Genomic DNA, 26,636 nt, shown 5'->3' on the forward strand with positions numbered 1-26,636 from the left:
GGCTCTCATGGTTTATTTGTTTAAATCTGAGGTGGAGCTTCAGAGGGTAACTGATGTTTGAACTAATCAAGTAAGGGAAAGGAGAACATTGGGTCTCTGTTAGGGGGTTCAGGAAAGCAGATGACAGAGGTCCCTGATGGGCCTGAGGATTCCCTTGTATAATTCACACATCCCCAGGAGGCTGTGGAGGAGGCCACAGGTGCCATTTTGAGATAAATAGAGAAGACAGACACAGCTGTAAAAATAGAAGAATGGAAGTACGGGTTTGTCTTGGGTTTGTATAATTTCCTGAATGATCTTGATGTCTGAAGTCTATAATATTAATAAAGATGTTGATTACTAAGCAGCATAATTATATAATGACCCTGATGGTCTATTTGTAGGTGATTATTTTTGTATTTAATGGTTACTGCATTTCACCAATTCTAACATATTATTATTAATAAGATGCATAATTAGTCTATATATTGCTAAAAAGAAAAAAAGTTAGCCATGTCACTATAATATTATATTTATTGTAAGAGGCAAACAAATGTTAAAGATGTTAAAGTGTAAGAAAACAAATGTCTGTCTATTGACTTAAGGGCAATAATACTAAACTGGCTAAAAGACTTAAATATCTGTATTGTAAATCATGGTAATGATTCCTTCTCATACAGTCAATAAATAAAATGCAGAAGGAAACAGCAACTTACAACATTGTGGATACTAGGCATTTCAAGAGATTGTAGTGCAGCAGCAAATAGTGAAAAATATCTTTGTAAGTGGCAAGAATTGACGGACTACTCAGAGAAATGATTAACTACCAGGAATAAGGCAAATATCTAGAAAAGCCTAAATATATTTCAGATTGAGGGACATTTATAACTCTGTTAACCCTTACTGGAGTAAATGACTGCAAAATGACCATTTCACGTCGCTCAAATTTGTGGAAACCCTGTTCTGATTTGTTGACCTTAATGGGAACATGAACTCAAAGAAACACACATGGGTAGGATATATATAGATAATGGGCATTCATTACTGACAGTGTCTGAAACTTCTTCCTATTTTCTGAAAATCACACTTTATGAAGAGCATTAGAAAATGAAAACTCTAGATACCTTTTCTTTACTAGCCTGACTTGAAGCTAGACTGTGTGCATGGCCCAGGCTCCACCACACAGAAGCACAGTCCCAGGTTATCAATCAGATGCTAGTGACCTAAGCAAAAGAAGCTTGCACAGAATCCCTTCTGGTGATGGGAGGCGGCAGTGATTTCAGAGAGAATATCCAGGGTTCTGGATGAGTCAGGGGTGTTTCGAGGCAACCATCCCAGCCCAATTTAATACTTCATTTGGTCATCGTTCCTGAAAAGGCAGCCTCTAGAATTTGTTCTCTACCTCTCCCAGTGATTCTGCATGCTCCTAAATATCGCTTAAAAATAATAACATGCTTTATTAAAAACAACCAGTTGAAATAAACCCGTTTCTATGTCTTTCCCAAGGATAGTGTGTACTTAACGTTGGTTTTAAAAATGAACTTACTATTGTAATATTACACTTACAGATAAACGTATTATTTAACACCTTATTAAAGTGTACACACCAATGTAACTATTACCTCTAAATCGAAAAATAGAATTCTTACTAACAAATCAGAACCCCTTTCATCCTCCCCCATCATTATTTTTTCTTCTCTCTCCAAAGACACCCATTATCTTGACTTCTACATCTTTTCTTTTGAATTGAATTGAATATAACATTTAGAAAATGTTTGCCGGCCGGGCGCGGTGGCTTATGCCTGTAATCCCACCACTTTGGGAAGCCGAGGCAGGTGGATCACGAGGTCAGGAGATCGAGACCATCCTGTCTAACACGGTGAAACCCCGTCTCTACTAAAAATACAAAAAAAAAAAAAAAAAAATTAGCCGGGTGTGGTGGCAGGTGCCTGTAGTCCCAGCTACGCGGGAGGCTGAGGCAGGAGAATGGCGCGAACCAGGGAGGCGGAGCTTGCAGTGAGCCGAGATCACGCCACTGCACTCCAGCCTGGGCGACAGAGCGAGACTCCATCTCAAAAAAAAAAAAAAAAAGAAAAAAGAAAAAAAGGGGGAGGAGCCAAGATGGCCGAATAGGAACAGCTCCGGTCTACAGCTCCCAGCGAGACCGACGCAGAAGACGGGTGATTTCTGCATTTCCATCTGAGCTTTGAAGGGAGCAGTGGTTCTCCCAGCACGCAGCTGAAGATCTGAGAACCGGCAGACTGCCTCTTCAAGTGGGTCCCTAACCCCTGACCCCTGAGCAGCCTAACTGGGAGGCACCCTCCAGCAGGGGCACACTGACACCTCACACGGCAGGGTATTCCAATAGACCTGCAGCTGAGGGTCCTGTCTGTTAGAAGGAAAACTAACAAACAGAAAGGACATCCACACCAAAAACCCATCTGTACATCACCATCATCAAACACCAAAAGTAGATAAAACCACAAAGATGGGGAAAAAACAGAACAGAAAAACTGGAAGCTCTAAAAATCAGAGCGCCTCTCCTCCTCCAAAGGAACGCAGCTCCTCACCAGCAACGGAACAAAGCTGGATGGAGAATGACTTTGACGAGCTGAGAGAAGAAGGCTTCAGACGATCAAATTACTCTGAGCTACGGGAGGACATTCAAACCAAAGGCAAAGAAGTTGAAAACTTTGAAAAAAATTTAGAAGAATGTATAACTAGAATAACCAATACAGAGAAGTGCTTAAAGGAGCTGATGGAGCTGAAAACCAAGGCTCGAGAGCTACGTGAAGAATGCAGAAGCCTCAGGAGCCGATGCGATCAACTGGAAAAAGGGTGTCAGCAATGGAAGATGAAATGAATGAAATGAAGCGAGAAGGGAAGTTTAGAGAAAAAAGAATAAAAAGAAATGAGCAAAGCCTCCAAGAAATATGGGACTATGTGAAAAGACCAAATCTACGTCTGATTGGTGTACCTGAAAGTGATGGGGAGAATGGAACCAAGTTGGAAAACACTCTGCAGGATATTATCCAGGAGAACTTCCCCAATCTAGCAAGGCAGGCCAACGTTCAGATTCAGGAAATACAGAGAACGCCACAAAGATACTCGAGAAGAGCAACTCCAAGACACATAATTGTCAGATTCACCAAAGTTGAAATGAAGGAAAAAATGTTAAGGGCAGCCAGAGAGAAAGGTCGGGTTCCCCTCAAAGGGAAGCCCATCAGACTAACAGCGGATCTCTCGGCAGAAACCCCACAAGCCAGAAGAGAGTGGGGGCCAATATTCAACATTCTTAAAGAAAAGAATTTTCAACCCAGAATTTCATATCCAGCCAAACTAAGCTTCATAAGTGAAGGAGAAATAAAATACTTTACAGACAAGCAAATGCTAAGAGATTTTGTCACCACCAGACCTGCCCTAAAAGAGCTCCTGAAGGAAGCGCTAAATATGGAAAGGAACAACCAGTACCAGCCACTGCAAAATCATGCCAAAATGTAAAGACCATCGAGACTAGGAAGAAACTGCATCAAATAACGAGCAAAATCACCAGCTAACATCATGATGACAGGATCAAATTCACACATAACAATATTAACTTTAAATGTAAACGGACTAAATGCTCCAATTAAAAGACACAGACTGGCAAATTGGATAAAGAGTCAAGACCCATCAGTGTGCTGTATTCAGGAAACCCATCTCACGTGCAGAGACACACATAGGCTCAAAATAAAAGGATGGAGGAAGATCTACCAAGCAAATGGAAAACAAAAAAAGGCAGGGGTTGCAATCCTAGTCTCTGATAAAACAGACTTTAAACCAACAAAGATCAAAAGAGACAAAGAAGGCCATTACATAATGGTAAAGGGATCAATTCAACAAGAAGAGCTAACTATCCTAAATATACATGCACCCAATACAGGAGCACCCAGATTCATAAAGCAAGTCCTGAGTGACCTACAAAGAGACTTAGACTCCCACACAATAATAATGGGAGACTTTAACACCCCACTGTCAACATTAGACAGATCAACGAGACAGAAAGTCAACAAGGATACCCAGGAATTGAACTCAGCTCTGCACCAAGAGGACCTAATACACATCTACAGAACTCTCCACCCCAAATCAACAGAATATACATTTTTTTCAGCACCACACCACACCTATTCCAAAATTGACCACATACTTGGAAGTAAAGCTCTCCTCAGCAAATGTAAAAGAACAGAAATTATAACAAACTATCTCTCAGACCACAGTGCAATCAAACTAGAACTCAGGATTAAGAATCTCACTCAAAGCCGCTCAACTACATGGAAACTGAACAACCTGCTCCTGAATGACTACTGGGTACATAACGAAATGAAGGCAGAAATAAAGATGTTCTTTGAAACCAACGAGAACAAAGACACAACATACCAGAATCTCTGGGACGCATTCAAAGCAGTGTGTAGAGGGAAATTTATAGCACTAAATGCCCACAAGAGAAAGCAGGAAAGATCCAAAATTGACAGCCTAACATCACAATTAAAAGAACTAGAAAAGCAAGAGCAAACACATTCAAAAGCTAGCAGAAGGCAAGAAATAACTAAAATCAGAGCAGAACTGAAGGAAATAGAGACACAAAAAACCCTTCAAAAAGTCAATGAATCCAGGAGCTGGTTTTTTGAAAGGATCAACAAAATTGACAGACCGCTAGCAAGACTAATAAAGAAAAAAAGAGAGAAGAATCAAATAGACGCAATAAAAAATGATAAAGGGGATATCACCACCGATTCCACAGAAATACAAACTACCATCAGAGAATACTACAAACACCTCTATGCAAATAAACTAGAAAATCTAGAAGAAATGGATAAATTCCTCGACACATACACTCTCCCAAGACTAAACCAGGAAGAAGTTGAATCTCTTAATAGACCAATAACAGGAGCTGAAATTGTGGCAATAATCAATAGTTTACCAACCAAAAAGAGTCCAGGGCCAGATGGATTCACAGCCGAATTCTACCAGAGGTACAAGGAGGAACTGGTACCATTCCTTCTGAAACTATTCCAATCAATAGAAAAAGAGGGAATCCTCCCTAACTCATTTGATGAGGCCAGCATCATTCTGATACCAAAGCCGGGCAGAGACACAACCAAACAAGAGAATTTTAGACCAATATCCTTGATGAACATTGATGCAAAAATCCTCAATAAAATACTGGCAAACCGAATCCAGCAGCACATCAAAAAGCTTATCCACCATGATCAAGTGGGCTTCATCCCTGGGATGCAAGGCTGGTTCAATATACGCAAATCAATAAATGTAATCCAGCATATAAACAGAGCCAAAGACAAAAACCACATGATTATCTCAATAGATGCAGAAAAAGCCTTTGACAAAATTCAACAACCCTTCATGCTAAAAACTCTCAATAAATTAGGTATCGATGGGACGTATTTCAAAATAATAAGAGCTATCTATGACAAACCCACAGCCAATATCATACTGAATGGGCAAAAACTGGAAGCATTCCCTTTGAAAACTGGCACAAGACAGGGATGCCCTCTCTCACCACTCCTATTCAACATAGTGTTGGAAGTTCTGGCCAGGGCAATTAGGCAGGAGAAGGAAATAAAGGGTATTCAATTAGGAAAAGAGGAAGTCAAATTGTCCCTGTTTGCAGACGACATGATTGTATATCTAGAAAACCCCATTGTCTCAGCCCAAAATCTCCTTAAGCTGATAAGCAACTTCAGCAAAGTCTCAGGATACAAAATCAATGTACAAAAATCACAAGCATTCTTATACACCAACAACAGACAGAGAGCCAAATCATGAGTGAACTCCCATTCACAACTGCTTCAAAGAGAATAAAATACCTAGGAATCCACCTTACAAGGGATGTGAAGGACCTCTTCAAGGAGAACTACAAACCACTGCTCAAGGAAATAAAAGAGGATACAAACAAATGGAAGAACATTCCATGCTCATGGGTAGGAAGAATCAATATCGTGAAAATGGCCATACTGCCCAAGGTAATTTACAGATTCAATGCCATCCCCATCAAGCTACCAATGACTTTCTTCACAGAATTGGAAAAAACTACTTTAAAGTTCATATGGAACCAAAAGAGAGACGGCATCGCCAAGTGAATCCTAAGCCAAAAGAACAAAGCTGGAGGCATCACACTACCTGACTTCAAACTATACTACAAGGCTACAGTAACCAAAACAGCATGGTACTGGTACCAAAACAGAGATATAAATCAATGGAACAGAACAGAGCCCTCAGAAATAACGCCGCATACCTACAACTGTCTGATCTTTGACAAACCTGAGAAAAACAAGAAATGGGGAAAGGATTCCCTATTTAATAAATGGTGCTGGGAAAACTGGCTAGCCATACGTAGAAAGCTGAAACTGGATCCCTTCCTTACACCTTATACAAAAATCAATTCAAGATGGATTAAAGATTTAAACGTTAGACCTAAAACCATAAAAACCCTAAAAGAAAACCTAGGCTTTACCATTCGGGACATAGGCATGGGCAAGGACTTCATGTCCAAAACACCAAAAGCAATGGCAACAAAAGCCAAAATTGACAAATCGGATCTAATTAAACTAAAGAGCTTCTGCACAGCAAAAGAAACTACCATCAGAGTGAACAGGCAACCTACAAAATGGGAGAAGATTTTCGCAACCTACTCATCTGACAAAGGGCTAATATCCAGAATCTACAATGAACTCAAACAAATTTACAAGAAAAAATCAAACAACCCCATCAAAAAGTGGGCGAAGGACATGAACAGACACTTCTCAAAAGAAGACATTTATGCAGCCAACAGGCACATGAAAAAATGCTCATCATCACTGGCCATCAGAGAAATGCAAATCAAAACCACTATGAGATACCATCTCACACCAGTTAGAATGGCAGTCATTAAAAAGTCAGGAAACAACAGGTGCTGGAGAGGATGTGGAGAAATAGGAACACTTTTACACTGTTGGTGGGACTGTGAACTAGTTCAACCATTGTGGAAGTCAGTGTGGCGATTCCTCAGGGATCTAGAACTGGAAATACCATTTGACCCAGCCATCCCATTACTGGGTATATACCCAAATGACTATAAATCATGCTGCTATAAAGACACATGCACACGTATGTTTATTGCGGCATTATTCACAATAGCAAAGACTTGGAACCAACCCAAATGTCCAACAATGATAGACTGGATTAAGAAAATGTGGCACATATACACCATGGAACACTATGCAGCCATAAAAAATGATGAGTTCATGTCCTTTGTAGGGACATGGATGAAATTGGAAATCATCATTCTCAGTAAACTATCGCAAGAACAAAAAACCAAACACCGCATATTCTCACTCAGAGGTGGGAATTGAACAATGAGATCACATGGACACAGGAAGGGGAATATCACACTCTGGGGACTGTGGTGGGGTGGGGGGAGGGGAGAGGGATAGCATTGGGAGATATACCTAATGCTAGATGAGGAGTTAGTGGGTGCAGCGCACCAGCATGGCACATGTATACATATGTAACTAACCTGCACAATGTGCACATGTACCCTAAAACTTAAAGTATAATTAAAAAAAAAAAAGAAAAGAAAAGAAAAAAAAAAGAAAATGTTTGCCAATCTTTTCTTCTCCTATTACAAAACAAAATGAAAAACAAACCAAAATAACACTGCTGGATTTCTAATGAGATTGTACTGAACCTATAGATCTGTTTGGGGGAGAATCTTTAAAATGCTGAGTCTTGAAATCTACAACCATATTATATTCTTCTTTATTTAGAGCTTTAATTTCTCTCAATAATATTTCATATTGTTCTGTATAGAGACCTTTCAAATAGTTTTTAAAGATTTATTTCCAGGTATTTAAAAATTTTGATTTGATAAATGGTAAAATTTCTTAAATTTTATTTACCTATTATTAGTTGATGTCATACAGAAATACAAGTGATTTTTATTTCTACCTTGTAGGCATAGATCTTGCTAAACACACTTATTAATTCAAGTACTTGATCTATCTATAGATTACTGGGTAGTCTATAATAAACAATGAATTTCAATTTCTTCTTTCCCATTCTCATAAACTTCATGGATTTTTCTTGCCTTATTGCCATGAGCAATGATCTCCAACAGAAAGTTGAACTATACTTAGAGTAGTGGCCATTCTTGTCTTGTTCCCAATATCAATGAGAGAAACTTCAATATTTCACTCTTAAATATAAAGTTTGATGGGTGTTTCTTATATATACACATTATTAGATTAATGGAGTTCTATACTACTTTTATTTCGCTAAGAATTTTTGCTATTACAGTTGTTTTGTTTTTAATCATGAATAGAATGCATATGGAATGTGATAAAATACTTTTATGATTTTCTTCTTTATTCTCTTAATGTGGCATAATACATTGTTTCATTTTCTAAAGTTAAGTCAAATTTAAATGCCTGTAATAATCCCAAATTGAACCTGGACATGTTATTTTAGCTACTTTACATATATAACTGTACTTGATTGCTAATATCTTGTTTCCTTTCTGCTTGTTATCTGGAAAAATATATGAATGGCTTGTACTTTAATTTCTTTAATTAAATGGAAAAAGCCATGCTTCCTTCTCCCAAATATTTGCCCTAAAAATCCAAGTTGCTTTGATACTTCCCTGAAAATTTTGAACAGGTTTTTAAAATACACATTCGTTCCAAATTTTCCAGTTGATTCCAGTAGGAAGGTTGGTCTGAAAATCCCTACTTCACTAGTGACTGAAGAAACTAATATTTTAAATAATTTATTCCTAAACACATTAACAAGAGTTAATGCTCTATAAATCCTGTCTAATTCATCAAGGAAGAAAGTTTGGAGAGTTTTAAGCTCTAGTTAATATAATAACAATAATAAAAATATCATACATATATTGAGTACCAAGTACCATATACTCTAAATATTACCAAGTCAAGGTCAAGGATAGAACTTTTCTTTCATCCAGAAGAAGAAAGAGAAATTCAAGGACTTTAATTTTCAGTGATAAGTCTACTTTTCTAATTTAAAATTGTAGCTAGGTAATGCAAAACATGAAGTATTGAACACACATATTTACCTTGGTTTTCTATTGAAGTACCACTATAGTAACAGTAAGAGATGAAATAGGTATAAATCTATAAGCAGAAATAAAATATGAGAGGAGAAAACACTAACACAATTTTCAGGAGCTGGAGAAAATATGTACACATGTATATTGACTTAGAGGTCTTAGAAATATAAATGTAAGCTGGCAGAGGAGAAGAAGCATAGATTTGCTTAGAAAGGGTGGTGAGTTGGAAAATTAACAGATTATCTTCACAGGATGATCTCTGGGGAGTATGTAAGCTCTCTTCCCCAACAGAAGACTAGATCTTTGAGTTCTGCAAAAGTGAAATGAAAGGAATTCTGGGCTAAAGGTACTCAGGAATTCTGAGTATAAGGATACAATACCAAAACAAGGTAATTATGTGAAAGCGAATATACCGAATATTGAGAGAATAAGTCCTTTTCCTTATCCCCAGTAAGTCAATACCATCCGTATGGATACTCACCTATACAACTACTACCATCAGAAAAGTTCTTTCAACACAAGTAGTTTGGAAGAAAACAACAAAGCAGGGAGGAGGGGAAACCTTATAACTAAAAGGAAAGTTTCAATCCATGAAATACAAATAGGAACACATAAGGATCAAGCTGAGAATAAAATGGATTCTCTGTGAAGTTAAATGTAAGGAAAAAGTGGGAAAAATCTCATCACCAGGTATAAAAGATGTCCCAGATATGGAGTGAAAAACATAAGAAGAAAGAAAAGAAGATGGAAAATAGAAAAAGCAAGAAAAAATAGTAATTCAGAGTTCTGTCTTGGATGTTCAGCATCCAAATAATATTGGTTCTAGAAAGAGAACAACTAAAATAAAGGGTGAAAGTGATTATCAATGAAAATATTCAAGAACAAATGAAGAACGCAAGTTTATGAACATAAATTTATGGTGGAGAATTTGGGAATTGATTAGTTATAGAAATAGAGAAAATGAGGCGGGCGGATATTTGAGGTCAGGAGTTCAAGAGCAGCCTGACCAACATGGTGAAACCCCATCTCTACTAAAATACAAAAATTAGCCAGGCATAGTGACACATGCCTGTAATCCCAGCTACTAGGGAGGCTGAGGCAGGAGAATCACTTGAACCCAGGAGGCAGAGGTTGCAGGGAGCCAAGACTGTGCCACTGCACTCCAGCCTGGGAAACAGAGTGAGACTGTGTCTCAAAATAAATAAATAAATAAATAGAAAGAAAAATAATTAAGTAAGAAAAAAGGCAATTATTAACTCCATGGAAAATAAAAGTTGTTTGGCCTGGTGAGCCTATAAAACCTTTCTCTTTTAAAACTATATTTAAAAATAATATAGACATTATTAATATTGAATTTTCAAATTATATAGTAAGACTATTTCTTAGTATTCAAAAGTAAAGTCAGGCCCAAAGGTCAAGGGAATCACTGAACAAAAGGATCATATTTTTAAAAACAAAATAAATATATAGCTGTTTGGCTGCAAAAATTTAAAAAGCCCAATGTTAAAATTATTCTGACAACACGACAGCTTCCAAATATGGGTATACCTGCTTCAATGTTATAAACTAGTTTAACCCACATTTTTTCCTATTTTTATGCTCATGTCATTTCACTTTATATAGAAACAATTATGCCCACACACGTATTTAGTTAAAAGATCAGAGCAAAGGCATATTATGCAAGATAATTTTTTATATCCAAATTTTTTTTCCTTCCAAAAGATTTGCAAGTTTCTATCTGTTTTCATAATGAATATATCCTACTATACACACTCTGGTGTTTTGCACTTGCCATTATGTGTTGTTGATATGAGCATTATATGATATATGTTATTAATATAAACAATGTAAAATATATTTAGAAAAGGCACTTAAGCTGGAATTTCTTTAATTCACTTTTTTCCACTCTTGTATATTTTGATACTGATTTAATAAACTTTAAAAGCAGAGGTGAAAAAAATCAGCTGCTTAGGTGTGTTTGACATCCAGTTTAATGGAGAGAGATTTTCGCCTTTTATTCATAAGAGAAACAACAATAAGAACAACAAAAGACAGCTTTTCAAAATAAAAAGAGCCCTATAAAGTAGCTCAGAAATTATGGATTTTAGTAATAGCTAGATAAACTGGTGGTGTAATTAATAACCACCCTCTCTTGGTCTTTTTTTTTTTTTCATTGTCAAACTATAGGAAAGTTGACTAGATGGTCTTTAAGGTCTCTTCATTATTAAATCTCATAGTTTCTAAGGTTAATACTGCACAGGGAAGTAACTTTTAACATGTAGCTTACTATTCAGTCTCCATATGTCAGTTATCTACTTTCTGAATATTGATTCCCTATTGATTTTCTCTTTAGTGATACATTTTAAGGAAATGTAAGATAATATAAAAAATTCTTGTTAAATAATTGATAACTTGATAAGCACAAATTCAAAAGTGAATATCATGTATTTTAAAGTCAAAAATATAAAGTTAGTATTATTCAATATCTTAAATAGTTGATGTTATTTTTATATTTTCAAGCACTCATTGACTTTATTTTTACCCATTGACTTTAATACACTTCCATTTAACTATCATTTATTGAGCATATACCTGTTGAAACACACACACACACACACACACACACACACACACTGATGTAGGTGCAAGGGTACAAAAGAGAGCAAAATAAATCCAATTAGGAGATGGCAAGAAGATTCATGATGCAGGGTAAGCCTCAAATGTGGACTAGACTCAATCAAATATACACTGTGGGGAGGCAGGGGGTTGAAACCCAGCAATTGCACATTGTAATCAAAGGGATCAAAGTGGAAAAGTTCAGGGTTTGTCTGATGATAGAAAAGTTAACCCTTGTGACTAGGACATGGTTTGTGCATATGTGTGCAGGTCACAGCCAAAGCAAGCCTGGCAGAGTAGGTTGGGGTCAAACTGTGGAGTCAGATCGGTGTATGCACGCCAAGTTAAGGGTTTCAATTTTACGCATTATGAAATCAGGAACTATCAAAGGGGATTTTTCACTCTGAATCAGAAGAGAAACAGAAAAAAAATAAGTATGTTAGTTGATAAGGTTTTAAGTAAGATGAAAGGAAGTTGCAAGAACATACACTTAATGAGTAAGATGATGATTAAATAGGTAGGTGTTTGGAAAAAAAAACATTATCTGGATTAATTTTTAACTAGAAAACTAGACAAGAGAAACACTGAGCACTGAAGGCCAGCTGAGGTTTTGAGTAGAGCTATAACCCAAAGAATTATATTTTTATTTCACTAAGTCTCTGCCACTCAGTATAGTATAGGAGCAAATAAGTTGAATGTCTGAAATTAAGTGTGAAAAACTAATTGACATCATGGATTATGAGATCAGTTTAAATTTGAAAGGATGGGCAACCAAAAGTCAGCAAGCAAATTCAAGAGGGAGTAAAGTGGGCAAGAGTAAAACAGTTTTAATTTACTTTTATTTCACCTAACATGCATTTATGGGAAGTAATAAGTGTGAAGGAATGTATGTGAACAAATACTAGTTTAATCTAATCCTCATAGTTATCCCATGGGACAGAGACTATTTAATGATCTCAATTTTACAGTTGAGAAAACTGAGTCCTGAGGAAGTTTTAAAAATGAACTCAGATCACTGAGACAGTGAATTCTCAACCTAGGGTTTGCATTCAATCATTATAAATCAAGAGTCAAGGTTTTTAATTATTGTACTATGCAATAATTAAATTAAAAGTAGGAAAGTGAGAAGTTAAGTGAACATAGGCTGGGATCAAAGTAAAATTGACAGTTTAGTTTTGGAATAATAGCAGTTCTCGACAGTTACAAGGCTTGGAGTATTGTAACAGAAGTGAATGGCTGAAAGAAAATGGAGGCAAAGCCACAGGATTTGAGGGTAAAAGAGAGGTTGTTGACTTTCCCTAAAGTACTATGGAGCACTTGAAGTTAGAAGGGCAAATCAGCCCTGAGACCATGTCCTTGTTCATTCACAGAGGCTGTTGGTAATTGGTACCAACAAGGAGAGATAAAAATGGAATTCCCCACAACCCCAACACACACAGGCACACATGCACGTATGCATGCATGCAAAAGCACACATCCAAGGGTAACAAACACCTTCTACCTGATAGAGCCTTGGGACGGGAAGGTCCTCAGAGAGAAGAATTAGGATTGCATAAAGGAAATAAAGCTGAAGACATGGCTTATATGGTAAGTCCTCAATATGATTGCTAGATACTGGGAAACTGTGACTTCAAGCAAAACAATGTACAGAGGGTTCTCGAATAACACCCTTTCCTTCTATGACATTTTGTTATAACATTGATAAGCAAAAAGTGGTTTTGTTATATACATTTCTCAACTTCAAGTCACAGCTTCCAAAACCCTATTGAGGATGTTAAGTGAGGACTTCCTGTAATCAGTAAAACATTTGGGAACTTTTGTTTGTTATTCTTTAACGGAATAAGCTTTATAATAAACATGGTGTAAATACCTGGCAGAAAAGACAGGCAATGGAAAGTGGCGGGAGGCACTGAATAGATTTTAAAAATATTTGGGGAAACAAAGTATTACTTATATAAACATTGACAACAGTGTAATTCGTTTATCTAATAACCCAGGTAAAATACCTAACAAATACTGCCACTATTCATCAACTCCAGGAAAAACAACTGTTGTGTCAGGTGAATTCCTTGTGTATATGTGTTTTCACTGGACAGAAGGAATTGCATAAGCCAGTGCTTCTCAAAATGTGATCCCTAGAACAATAGCATCCGCATCACCTGGAAACTTGTTAGAAATGCACATTTTCAGATCCCACCCCAGGCCAGCTGAATCAGATATACCAGTCCTGCAGGTGACTCTGATGTGTGATAAAGTTTGAGAACCTCTAACCTAAATCAAATTTCTTTCTGCTTAGCTACCCTGGAAGTATGAGCCAAATTCAACATTGACCTGCAAAAGTTAATTTTAGGTACTTGTTCACATCTGTTTCTGTGTTAATTATAATTGCTTTTTCTTATTTTCATTCTTCTGGTCTATATTGTATTTAGTAAATTGTAATCCTTTTGGAGTATTTATTAAACTAACAATCAACACAAATTTTTGAAGTCTTACTGACAATTTGTTTTTAAAAATCTGTAACTGTAAAATAATACATGTTAGTAACTTTTACATATGCAATTTTAGAAGGGTAAACATATGTGGTAAATTGTTAAGAAAGTGGATGAGGAAGATTGATTGTTATTTAATTGACACAGGAAAGAGCCAGGCATTGGCATTAAAAAAGAAAAAGAAAGAAAACCAAACTTCGGATGATTCTGATGTATAGCCAGGGTAAGAATCACCAGATTAGAAGATAGGAGAAAAGAGACCTACGGCATCATGTATTTTGAAGAGTTTGGTGAAAATGATAGTGATAATTCTGGGCCATAACAAGACTGCCTATAAGAAGAGTCTGAAGAAATGGTTTAAAACAAAAGGAAAAGGCAATGCATCTAGTGTAAGCTTGAAAAAAAGCTGGGAAACTCAAAGAAAAAAACAGAGAGAAGGGGGTTGAGAACACTAAAGAAAAGTAAATGGCAGGTCAGTGGATGAGATTCATCATGTCTTTTTGAATAGTGTGGTGAGTCAACATTCTATCTGCAACTGTAGACAAAATCTATGTGGGTTCAAGGATGCACATGGAAAACTCAAAAGCATTCTTCTTAGGAATTCCACCTAAAAAGCAATATACATCCAGCTGACCTAGAAATAGTTAAACAGCAAGACTAAATACCATCTTGGGGAGGATGGATGGGGCCTTTATTCATTTTCAGATGTGGAAAAAATGTTTGTCTTTATATGTTTATAATCATCCCAAATGTGCTCCTGATAACACCTGAGCAAACTTTCTCTCTGGCTGTCACTTCAATAGAAATTCACTGAACATTAATATTTACTTTGGAATGAGACAGATTTCTGTAAGTTCTTAGGAATACAAAATAAATCTTGAAATGCAAATATTGAACATTTATGAATAATAAATATATATTTAAAGATGATATTCATATGGTTTATTCATAACCTAAGCATGTGTGACTCTTAAATAATCACATTACAGTAAATCCTTTATGGGAAGAAGAAATATTATCAAAAAGTTACTACTAAATTTAACTAAAAATGCCCCCCAATAATAATTCTGAGACGTCATGATTATTTACATTTGCTTCAGAAGTGTTAAAGTTTAGATTTGTTATCTTCACTATCATTCTAGTAGCAAGCATTTTTCATTAAATTTACCATATCTTATATAATCAAATTTATCAGGTTATTGAGTAAGCTGCCAGGACTATATTTAGAAAGAACCTCAGAGATAGAATAGATGATCAAATGATCAGGTTTAGAGTAAATGCTTGAAAAATATTTTCTTATATTGCAATGAGTATAGTTAGCCACCAGAGAGAGCTCAGTCACTATGTTTTATTAAAGACAGTAATTATTTACTTTCAACTGAATAGAAATTCTCTATCCGCCATGTCCTAAATTTAAGAAACAAAGCTATTGTTTAATGATTTATAATATCCAGAATCAAATACTATAAATGACACTTTCAGGTTTAGCATTTGAGGAATAATGTGTCTCTGCCAACAAGAGTGTTAGTGCTGAAGATTGCAAGGGAGATTTCCACTGGGGAAAAGGTGCAGGTTGCATATTTACAGGCAATTTTCTTACTCACTAATGGGAAGGTTTCTTCACACACTAGAAATACATGCTTTATGAAAACAACACAAAGGCTATTTTCTAATAGCATCTTGTTAACTCCAGAGAACTGAGGAACAGCTTTTTAAAGTCATATGACAAACATAGGAAATAATCAGTAGTAAATGGAACTTGATAAATAAGAACCTGAAATTAATAGATCTTAATATCTTTTGTCTGATCCTCAGCAGGAGGAAATTTTTACTATTAAGCAGGATCACTTTATTCAACAAAAATTATACAACTATACTAATGCAATTTTAAGTTAATCAATATCCAGTCCTTTCTCCTGCCCCCAATCACGATAAGTAAACAAAATGAAGAAACACATACACTCAAGCTTATCCTCAGGTCTTCCTCTTTCAAGCAGAGACAGGTAACAGACAATGTCCTTCAGATGGATTACTTCTGGGGAACACGTATTTGCAGGAGAAGTAGTCCGGGGAGGGGTGATGGCACCTTTATTCATTCTCAGACCTGGAAAAAAAATTGTCTTTATATTTTGTTAATTATTTACAGTGATCTCAAACAGAAAACAAATTAAGAAAATAGAGAACACACAGGCTACATAGAAATTTATATTTTTTAGGCATAGAATAACCAAATTCTCTGTAAGATCGGTACAGCAGCTAGACATAGCCTACGACTGTTGTAGATGAAGGAGAGTTCTTTGGGATCCACAGACATGGCACTGCCCTATCAGCCACGGATGGTATTTGGGTCAGAATAATATTACCCTAGGTGAGTTGGTACACATTTGAATGCTTGAAGACCCACTTCCCTATTCCACTTTTCTGTGCTTTAGGTAGTGACAGCTATAAATCATTTGGGAAGATATTTAAAATGGACTTTTTCACAAAATACTAAAGAAAAAAATGTCAGTCTTTCACAATATAATTTCTCTATTCATAATAAGTAATCATCCATTCATAAAGTCATATATTTGTTTCAAATATTTGCCAATACCATGAAGAAGACATCCTTTTTTACCATCAAGGGACTTGCCCAGGAGTAAGAATAAAGAGAACATAAGCAAAACTCTGGATAAACATGATGGATATTAGAGAGGTAAAAACATATGAGTGGTTTGGTTTTTAAATGGTTCTGACTTTATTTCTGAAACCCATTATCTGTGTCTGTTCTATCACAAGGATATAGGTTGCTTATTACCTGTCTGGTGATAATCTAACCGAAATATGTTCACAGTAACTTGTTAGTTCTGTCTTACCCAGAAGCCACTGAAGTCAGATTGTGTGTATCTGACAAGGCCTGAAGATAAACCGCAATTATCCCTTGAGGGATATATGGCATTTTTAGAGGTATTTGGGAGAAATAACTAATGGGTTGAGTGGCTACTAGATTCCTAATCAACCAGGAGCTACTGTAAGGAATAATTTGAACCAAACACAGTTCTAGAACCCTGTTCTTAGCACAGATCTACCTGACTGCGTATGTCTCACTCTACTTTAGTTTTTCAATTTGTAACTTTCCATGAATACCTATCACCTCGTCAAGCCATCTCAAGATTCCCAGGCATATAATTCAATGTGTTGTGATATGTCCCAAGTTAGTTTTATCATTGGTGATGTTGTCACTAATAAAGGGAACTATTTACTGAGTGCCTAATATGTGGCTGAAATCATGGTAGTAGCTTTAACACATATTATCTCACATTATTCTTACGTGAACGCTGTGAGGTAGAGTGCATTTTCCCCACTTTACAGATTAGGGACCGTCTTACAGATTTTAACTTCCCAGAGTTTCATAACCAGCAAGACAAATCCATCTTCCTGTTTCTACAGTGGTAGCTTACAAACTATTTTTGTTCAAGGCCAATCATAAAAGTGTAAGAAAAATAATTTACATCTTAACACAGCACACACACACGCACGCACGCACACACACGCACACACACATTAGTGGGATTCATAATTGCCCAAATATTTTCTTTTCTATATTAACCTACTCATATTCTATCCTATTCTGAAAATTTTTCTCAAACACCATCTAAATTGAGTTTACTAGCCACCAATGGATCAAAAATCACAGTCTGAAAAAACACGGCTTTGGGTCTTTCCATCCTTTTTTATTTTTAATTTTTTTTATTTTTTTGAGATGGAGTCTCGCTCTGTAACCCAGGGGCTGGAGTGCAATGGTGCGATCTTGGCTCACTGCAACCTCTGCCTCCTGGGTTCAAGTGATTCTCCTGCCTCAGCCTCCTGAGTAGCTGGGATTACTGGTGCGGGACACCACGCCCGGCTGATTTGTGTGTGTGTGTGTGTGTGTGTGTGTGTGTGTGTGTGTGTGTGTATGTTTAGTAGAGATGGTGTTTCACCATGTTGGTCAGGCTGGTCTCGAATTCCTGACCTCATGATCCATCCACGTCGGCCTCCCAAAGTGCTGGGATTACAGGCGTGAGCCACCATGCCCGGCCCCTTTCTTTTTAAAATGAAGTCTTATTTATTTCAAATGTGGCTTTATGTTTTACATTAATTCTACTTCTGTTTATAAAGTTATCAACAGAGACATATATTGTAAACGGAATTTCCTTTTTAATAGAAGTATCAGTGTATGTCTAATACAAACTAATAGTTATTTATGAACCAAAGAAGGCAGGGAATTGAAGACAATCCTGAGCTTTAAAAAAAAAAAAAAAAAGACCGGAATAATTGAAACTAGCCAACTAAAGCTTAGCCAGCTGCAGGAATAAGCAGTTCCAACTTATGATAAAAAACATTTTGGCGCTGACCCTTGACATGACCATAACTTTCAGACTTGGAGAACACAGCACTTGAATTATGGTCGGATAAGCTATGACCTAACTCATCCTGCTGATGAGCTAATCCTCTTTTCCAATGTTTCCCCCTGTGGTACTGAAATGATTTAATCAGCTTGATTTAACTCCTTTATAGAAAAATTCAGAACAAAACAAAAAAGAAAGAAAAGAATATGCTCTGACATTTATTTGAAAGAAAGCCAAATATATTATAGATCTTCACTTATTTAGAACATGGCATGACCATTTGTACTTATACAACTAAGGTAGATGGTGTTTAATTATCAGCTTTCACCATACTGAACACAAACAATTGAGAACGTAAGGATCACATAATTTTGTCTTTTCTGTATGTAATGTATAAATCGAGTATGAATGTACACATATAATTTGTATTTAGCATCACGTTTTTGAAGGAATATGCTACTGTACTAAAATTATTTTTGTTTGGAAAAATGAGTAATATTTTCCATTTTCTTTTCATGAAATATTGTTAACTGAACACTTAAAGCTGTATCATGTATTTATCACATGGAATACGGTTAAATGAATATTTAAAGCTGTATCATGTATTTATTTCCATGAAATATTATTAACTGAATATTAAAGCTGTATCACATATTTAATTGTGTCACAGTTTTACATTTAAATAGCTTAAAGCTTATATAAAAGAAATATGGGCATATATTCAATCTATACATTGAAGAACTAATCAACTCTTCCTTAAGTCCAATAGCAGCCAAATTTGAGAGGTAAAATATATATTTTTGGAATGATTTATAGAGTGCACTGAAGAAGAAGATAAAATGTCAAAGACCTTTTATTATTATTACTTGATAAAAAGAAAATTGTAGAACAGGACTTAATTCTTTAAAACTATTCTTTTTTAAAAAGTTTGAGGCTCACAACAAAATTGAGACTGTACAGAGATTGAACACTGCTTTATATCTTTCCTTCATTTTCTTCACTCAAGTCTTGCTTACTTCAAATATCTCTCTGTGTTTCACATTAATTCTACTTCTGTTTATAAAGTTATTACCCACTACACATGCATATTCCTCCCCACTACCAACATTCTCCACCAAAGTAGTACGTTAGTTACAACTGGTTAAACTACATTGACACCTCATTACTATCCAATCTCTATAATATACATTAGGGTTCTCTTTTTGTTGTATATTCTATGAGTTTGGACAGGTGTATAATGAAGTGTCTACCATTATAGTGTCTTTCAGAGAAGTTTCACTGCCCTAAAATATTTCTACTCTGTTTATTTATCTCTGCCCTCCCAACAATCTCTGAACCTTTCATTTTCTCCCGGATTTTGCCTTTCCCATAGTGTCATAGAGCTGAAATCATACAGACTGGCTATTTAGACTGGCTTTTTTCTGTTATTAATATGCATTTACATTTCCTCCATGTCTTCTTATGGCCTGATAGCTCATTTCTTTTTATCACTGAATAACATTGCATTGTCTGGATGTACTACAGTTTATGCATTCATCAACTTGATTAAATTTTGAGGTGTTTAATTAATAAAAAAGCTTGGCCAGGCACCGGAACTCATGCCTGCAATCCCAGCACTTTGGGAAGCCGAGGTGGGAGGATCACAAGGTGAAGAGATCGAGAACATCCTGGCCAACATGGTGAAACCTCGTCTCTACTAAAAATACAAAAATTAGCTGGGCGCGGTGGTACATGCTTGTAGTCCCAGATACTTGGGAGGTTGAGGCAGGAGAATCGCTGGAACCCAGGAGGTGGAGGTTGCAGTGAGCCAAGATCATGCCACTGCACTCCAGCCTGGGCGGCAGAGTGAAACTGTCTCAAAAATAAATAAATAAATAAATAAAAATAAAAAAACTCACAGATTTATTCCTGCTCCTACCACCTCCCCAAGATCAGCCCACTTTTTTTAAATGTTTCTTTATATTATATTTTCATTTAGTTTTCTGAAAGCAGACCCTGGTCCTCAATCTATCTCCACAGGAGTTATTTTTACACCCTACTCTACCCTTTATTTATTTATTTATTTATTTATTCATTTTTTTTTCTTTTGCCCTTTCCCTAAATCTGGCTGAAGCTCACTACTTATCTTCCTCGATTGCAGTTCACTACCCTGAAAAAAGTCCTTTTTCCTTTTAAGAAGTTTGCACTAATCTAATGGTTATTCAGAAGCTTAGGAGACAACATGTACGGCAACCAAAAAGTTGCAAGCCTGACTTCTTGACTACAGCTGAGATGGTAAAATGATAACATGAAATAGTAAGTGAGATCCTTTCTAGCAGCAATAGCCTCTGGTGAGGAAGCTCAAAATTCTATTTTTAATTAACAAAGGCCAATTTTACACACCCAGTCATCAGTGAAATTCTCTCTTTACAACTAAAATGAAACATAAAGCTGGGCAAAACAAAAGGGTTTGTTTGTTTTTTGGCCTCAAGTGATCAGAGCTAAATATTGCTTCAGAGTAAATATTGCAATTGACACTTAAAGTAGTATAATCTGCAGATTCTTCTACTTGCCCTAGGCTATACTACTTTAAATATTTCATCACAAAAGTGAAGCAAATGTGTGTGTGTGTATATATATGTGTGTGTGTGTGTATATACACATACACACACATATATATGTGTATGTATATACTACAATAGTACAAAATAAAGTGAAAAGTAAGCATTGTAATTAGAGCGTATTAGTCTTTTAGGAATAATTATCTTGTACTTAGCATTTATTTCTGTTAAAATAAGTTCATTATATATACACATACATACATACACACATACACATTCTTTTCTTCAAAGCTTTAGTTATAAAAAGTAGTTAGCATTAGTCATATCGAATGTTGCCTATGATTATCACATTTCTAAGCACATGATTTTCATTATACTCCAATCTAGACACTTCATTTCTTGAAACAATAACCTCAAAAGTTGTATTTAATAGATAATTTTAATTCCAGCTTCAGGTTCAATTATTAGCAGATAAGTTTTGGGTAGCTGTTAAATTAGTGCCTCTGGTCCAGTTTGTTTCATTTTCAAACACTTGCATTTCATATAATGTAAACAGTGACATTTTCTCTATTTCTTAATGAAATAGTCAAAAACAATAACATGGATCACATTTCTAAATTTATAAGGCAATACAACACTGGCAATTTAGCTTTTTCTTTTAAAATATTGGTTCAATTTACAGAAACGTATCAGATTTATTTATCACATAGTATAATTATATTTCCAACATCCATACTATTGGTCATAATGAGTAGCATAGATAATCAGAATAAAAATAGTTGATATTAGTATTGTCATATATTTCATGATTTTTACACTTAATCTTTCAACTATGCTTGTTGTAGTATATTATAATTATCTTTCATTCTTTATGTTTACCCAAACCGGCAGCAAAATTAGGTAGATGGCATTTTCAGTGAATAAGAAATGTAATAGAGATGGTGATTCCTTATAAAGAGAAGACAGACTGTGAGATACAGTCCCTGATATGAAACTGGGATCAGACAAACCTCTCTGAGAACATACTCTGGTTTTCATCTGTTTGGACATTGGCAAAAACCCCAAACAAGCAATTACAGGGAGAAGGACTTAAAGTATAGGTCTTTGGGGATAACGTTTTAAGAGCAGAGTAACCTCTGTGAAGGAACAACATTAATAACAGCTCTGGTTGTGTGCAAACAATACTTTTGTACAGTGGTCTTATTTGACCCTACAATTCTGTTTTAAAGATGAGAAAGTGGAAAGTCAGTAAGTAAACTGTTCGTGATCATATACCAGTCAGTCAACGGAGCAAAAAGGTGAAGACAAATCATCTCATTCCAAACTTTGGACTCTTTTTAAAAGCAGTAAAAATGAGATCTGTCTACACCAGTGTTATCCAATAAAATTTTCTGAAGGCTGAGTTCAGTGGTTCACACCTGTAATCCTAGTGTTTTGGGAGGCCAAGGCAAAAAGATCATTTGAGTCCAGGAGTTTGAGCCCAACCTGGGCAAAATAGGGAAACTTCATCTCTATAAAAAAAAATTTTTAATTACCCATTTGGGGTGGCATGCATTTGTAGTCCCAGCTACCTAGGGGGCTGAGCAAGAGGATCACTTGAGCCCAGCAATTCAAAGTTACAGTAAGCTATGATCACACCACTGCAGTCTGGGCAACAAACAGAGCAAGATTCTGTCTCTTGAAAACAAAAAACAGAAAACAAAAAACAAAAAAACTTTCTGCACTCTTCAATACAATAAAATTAACTACCTATGTCTATTTGACCAAAATTATTAATGAATTTAAATTTAAATAGCAGTGGATAGCTAGTGGCTACCATATCAGGTTGTGCAGGCTCTATACTGTATGCAGATGGATAATTGAAAGTTATTTAAATTATTCTCAGTAATTTGAATATATATAAGTATGGGACAAAAATAATTAAACCACCACATATTAAAAGAGCCCATGATGCCAAATTTTCTGTATTTATCACATGAAAAGAAATTCCAATAATCTCCTTAAATTTCACTGTACAGATATTGTTCAGAATGTATAATATCTTTAAAACAAAAAGGATATGTTGATTTTTTTTTTTTTGAGATAGGGTCTCACTCTCTGATGCCCAGGCTGGAGTGCAGTGGCATGTTCACTACAACCTCCACCTCCAGGGTTCAAGAGATTCTCCCACCTCAGCCTCCAAGAAGCTGGAATTACAGGTGTCAGCCACCACATCCAGCTAATTTTTGTATTTTTTGGTAGAGACGGAGTTTCACCATGTTGGCCAGGCTGGTCTCAAACTCCCGACCTCAAGTGATCTCTGTACCTCAGCCTCCCAAAGTGCTGGGATTACAGGGGTGAGCAACCACGCGCAACCAATATGTTGAAATTGAACTTTATGCTATGTATGCACACCAAAACATTGAAACATAATTTATTTAATGAATAATGGTAATGACTGGCATTTATTAAGCATTTATAATGTACACAATACTATTTCAAATGAAGTACATGTATCCTGTTTTTCTTCAGTCTCACAATAGTTAATAAAATACATACACATATTATCCCCATTTTACATCTAAGAAAACAGAGGAGAGAACAAGTTGCACAGGTACGACTCAAAATGCAGTCTGAATTGGAGTTTTATTATTTATTTATTTTTATTTATTTATTTATTTATTTTTGAGATGGAGTCTCACTCTGTCGCCCAGACTGGAGTGCAGTGGCGCAATCTGGGCTCATGGCAACCTCTGCCTCCCAGGTTCAAGCGATTCTCCTGCCTCAGCCTCCCAGGTAGCTGGGATTATAGGCACCTGCCACCACACCCAGCTAATTTTTGTATTTTTAGTAGAGACGGGGTTTTTTTATGTTGGCCAGGCTGGTTTCTAACTCCTGACCTCAGGTGATCCATGGCCTCCCAAAGTGCTGGGATTACAGACGTGAGCCACCGTGCCCGGCCAGAATCGGAGTTTTATACTCTAAGCATGATTCTGTGAGGCTGGACAGAGAAAAATAAATCAGAGGAAACTGTCTTCTGCCTCTCAATAAAAGACCTTTGTTTTAAGAGTCTGGTTTTCAAGACTCTTAAGGGTGGATACATTGATTAAATCATAAACATTTGAAAGAAAATTAGAAACCATAGCCAGAGCTAAGAACTCTAAATTTTCATCTTCCATTTGGCCCATGTCTTGGGCCATCCATCATAATATGTTTGTGAACATGTATTTATATGTGTGCTTGCATGTGTAAACATGCACATATATTTGCCAAATCTTTACGTATGATTTTTCTTATTGCTCATCTGTGTTTTTGATAGATATACAACTAGCCCTTTATAATCATAAACACAATAAATATTCAGGACCCTTAAGATTAGTCATGTAAAACCAGACCCCAGGTACTGAGGATAAAGCATGGAACAAAGCAGGAAAATCCCATTTCCACAGAGCTTTCATTCCAGGGGATCAAAGCAAGTGTCCAACACCATTGCATATTTTCTAGCTATGACTAGGTGTTTTTATGAGTGAAATAATGTTATGATGGATTTGGGCCTCTGCAGGGTATTAAATCTCTTATTTCCTTTTGCTAGAATATTACAAACTGTAAATAAATATTTTTGAACATGAAAGTACAAAAATGTTAAGACAACACTATTATTTAGTATGCAACCATTAAGATGAAAATGAAAATACAGAAACTCCTGTGTGTTGGGTGAATAAATCTAATAATAAAGTAAAGGTGGAAAATTTGAGGACCAAATTTTACTTGGAATATTCAGATGGAAGAAAAAAGAAACCTGATTATTCAAGTCTAACATATTAAAAACCATTTAATGATTAAAGGAGAGACTTGAAGAGAAATCATCCCTTACTGGCAGTAATTATGTTAAAAACAGGACCACAAAATTATTGCAAGGAAGAGGTTGGCAGGATAAAATATTTTTTGAAGTAAAATAATCTGTGGATCATTACTTCTAATGACAATAATTAGAAGTATGAATTCAATACTACAGAGGTACATCAAATGTAAAGGTTGATATAAATAAATATGAATTGGCCAGTAGACAGAATTTATTTCATCTGTATTCCTGGAGCATTTCTGTGTCAGTAAGTTTATTACCTCAACAGTAATAAGTATATCGACATTAAGAAATACACCAATATATTTTAAATATCTACTATGTGTCAGGAATTCCCCTATCTCATAGTCACACAAGCTATGTAGTCTGTTCAGTTTGTGTTTTGGGGACCCTGACTTTCCTTGTTTGCATTGTGGAAACTGAAATAACTGATCAGTTATAAAAGACCTGTTAAGGTACAGCACAGTAATAAAAAATACACATACACACATATATATTTAATATCCTCAAGACAGTCCTAATAAGAGAAATATCTTCTCAGCACAATTAATGAAGTATACCTTTCAGCAAGAACATTCAGTAAGTCTATTTGGTGAAAGAACATTTCTCCCAAGGTTCAAGTATCTCATTCTCATTGTACAATTTTCTGTTCTTAATTGATTAACTTCCTGACAGACATTTTCCTTTTCTATCTAAAATAAGTACTTGGGGCGTGACTCAAATGCACAGAAAACATAAAATGACATAATCCTCCTATTGATATTATAGCTTATTGATATGTGTAGCATCACAGTGCAAATTAACCATTGCCTCATCAAACAAGCAATGGGAGAGTTGGGGACCAATGATAAGGCATCTAATTTTTTTCAGAGATAGCTGTTACTACTCTCAATCTGAAATATCTTCTGGACCCTTTTATACCGTCAGCCTCATTCTCCTTCATGATAGCTGCCACCTCACTAGCAGTGTAATTATTTTCTGGCTTAAAATCTCATAATGGCTTTCCGATTTCTTCTGGATAAAATTCACAACTTAGCATGACAGGCAAAACTCTTCCCCACCTGGCCTTGGCTACCTCTCTCGCCTCTTCTGCAGAAGCACAACTGGAGTCCAGGCCAGATCCAGACCTCTCAGTGCTCCTAACAAGTCTATCTTCCTCCAGTCTCCTAAGGTCCTTGGGGCTTTGACCTTGCCAGGCCCTCTTTCCTCATTCCACTCCAGGCCATGCCCGATACTTACAAGGTCATGAGCATCATCTGCTCTGGGATGAACAGAAATGACCTTTTTGAACTCCTATCTTAGTTTAAGTGAATCATGAGGATCCCACATTCCCAGTCATCTTCAGCCTCAAGCTGCACTTTCCAGCCTCCTTTTTTTTTTTTTTTCTCTGAGATGGAGTCTCGCTCTGTCGTGCAGGCTGGAGTGCAGTGGCGCCATCTCAGCTCACTGCAACTCTGCCTCCCAGGCTCAAGCAATTCTCCTGCCTCAGCCTCCCGAGTAACTAGGATTACAGGTGTGCACCACCACGCCCAGCTGATTTTTGTATTTTTAGTAAAGACGGGTTTCACTATGTTGGCCAGGCTGGTCTCAAACTCCTGACCTTGTGATCCCCCCACCTCAGCCTCCCAAAGTGCTAGGATTACAAGCATGAACCACTGTGCCAAGGCTCCAGCCTCTTTTTGTATACATTTTTGCCAA

General features: G+C 36.2%; 1 protein-coding gene across 26 annotated transcripts in view, besides 1 other annotated feature; it reads right to left on the reverse strand.

Moving 5' to 3' along the window:
* The window catches only part of DGKB (diacylglycerol kinase beta), an 829,810-nt gene that overhangs the window by 557,346 nt on the left and 245,828 nt on the right, over nucleotides 1-26,636 (reverse strand). For 25 of the 26 annotated variants that reach the window (XR_001744571.2, NM_001350722.2, NM_001350711.2 and 22 more), the window contains one exon: nucleotides 16,148-16,291. Coding sequence is in view for 24 of the 26 variants with exons in the window: in NM_001350722.2 (NP_001337651.1) it covers nucleotides 16,148-16,291 (144 nt within the window). In the remaining 2 variants the exon portion in view is untranslated. Of the gene's footprint in view, nucleotides 1-16,147; nucleotides 16,292-26,636 lie in introns of those variants that run through there. The other variant, XM_047419929.1, reaches the window with a different exon arrangement.
* Nucleotides 12,057-12,116: an enhancer, noted in NCBI's record as "active region_25668". NCBI's record gives its function as "activates an Ori minimal core promoter by ATAC-STARR-seq in GM12878 lymphoblastoid cells {active_cell/tissue: GM12878}" and the evidence as "EXISTENCE:reporter gene assay evidence [ECO:0000049][PMID:35858748]".

This window comes from Homo sapiens, chromosome 7 (genome assembly GCF_000001405.40).
Source record: "Homo sapiens chromosome 7, GRCh38.p14 Primary Assembly".
NCBI lineage: Eukaryota > Metazoa > Chordata > Mammalia > Primates > Hominidae > Homo > Homo sapiens.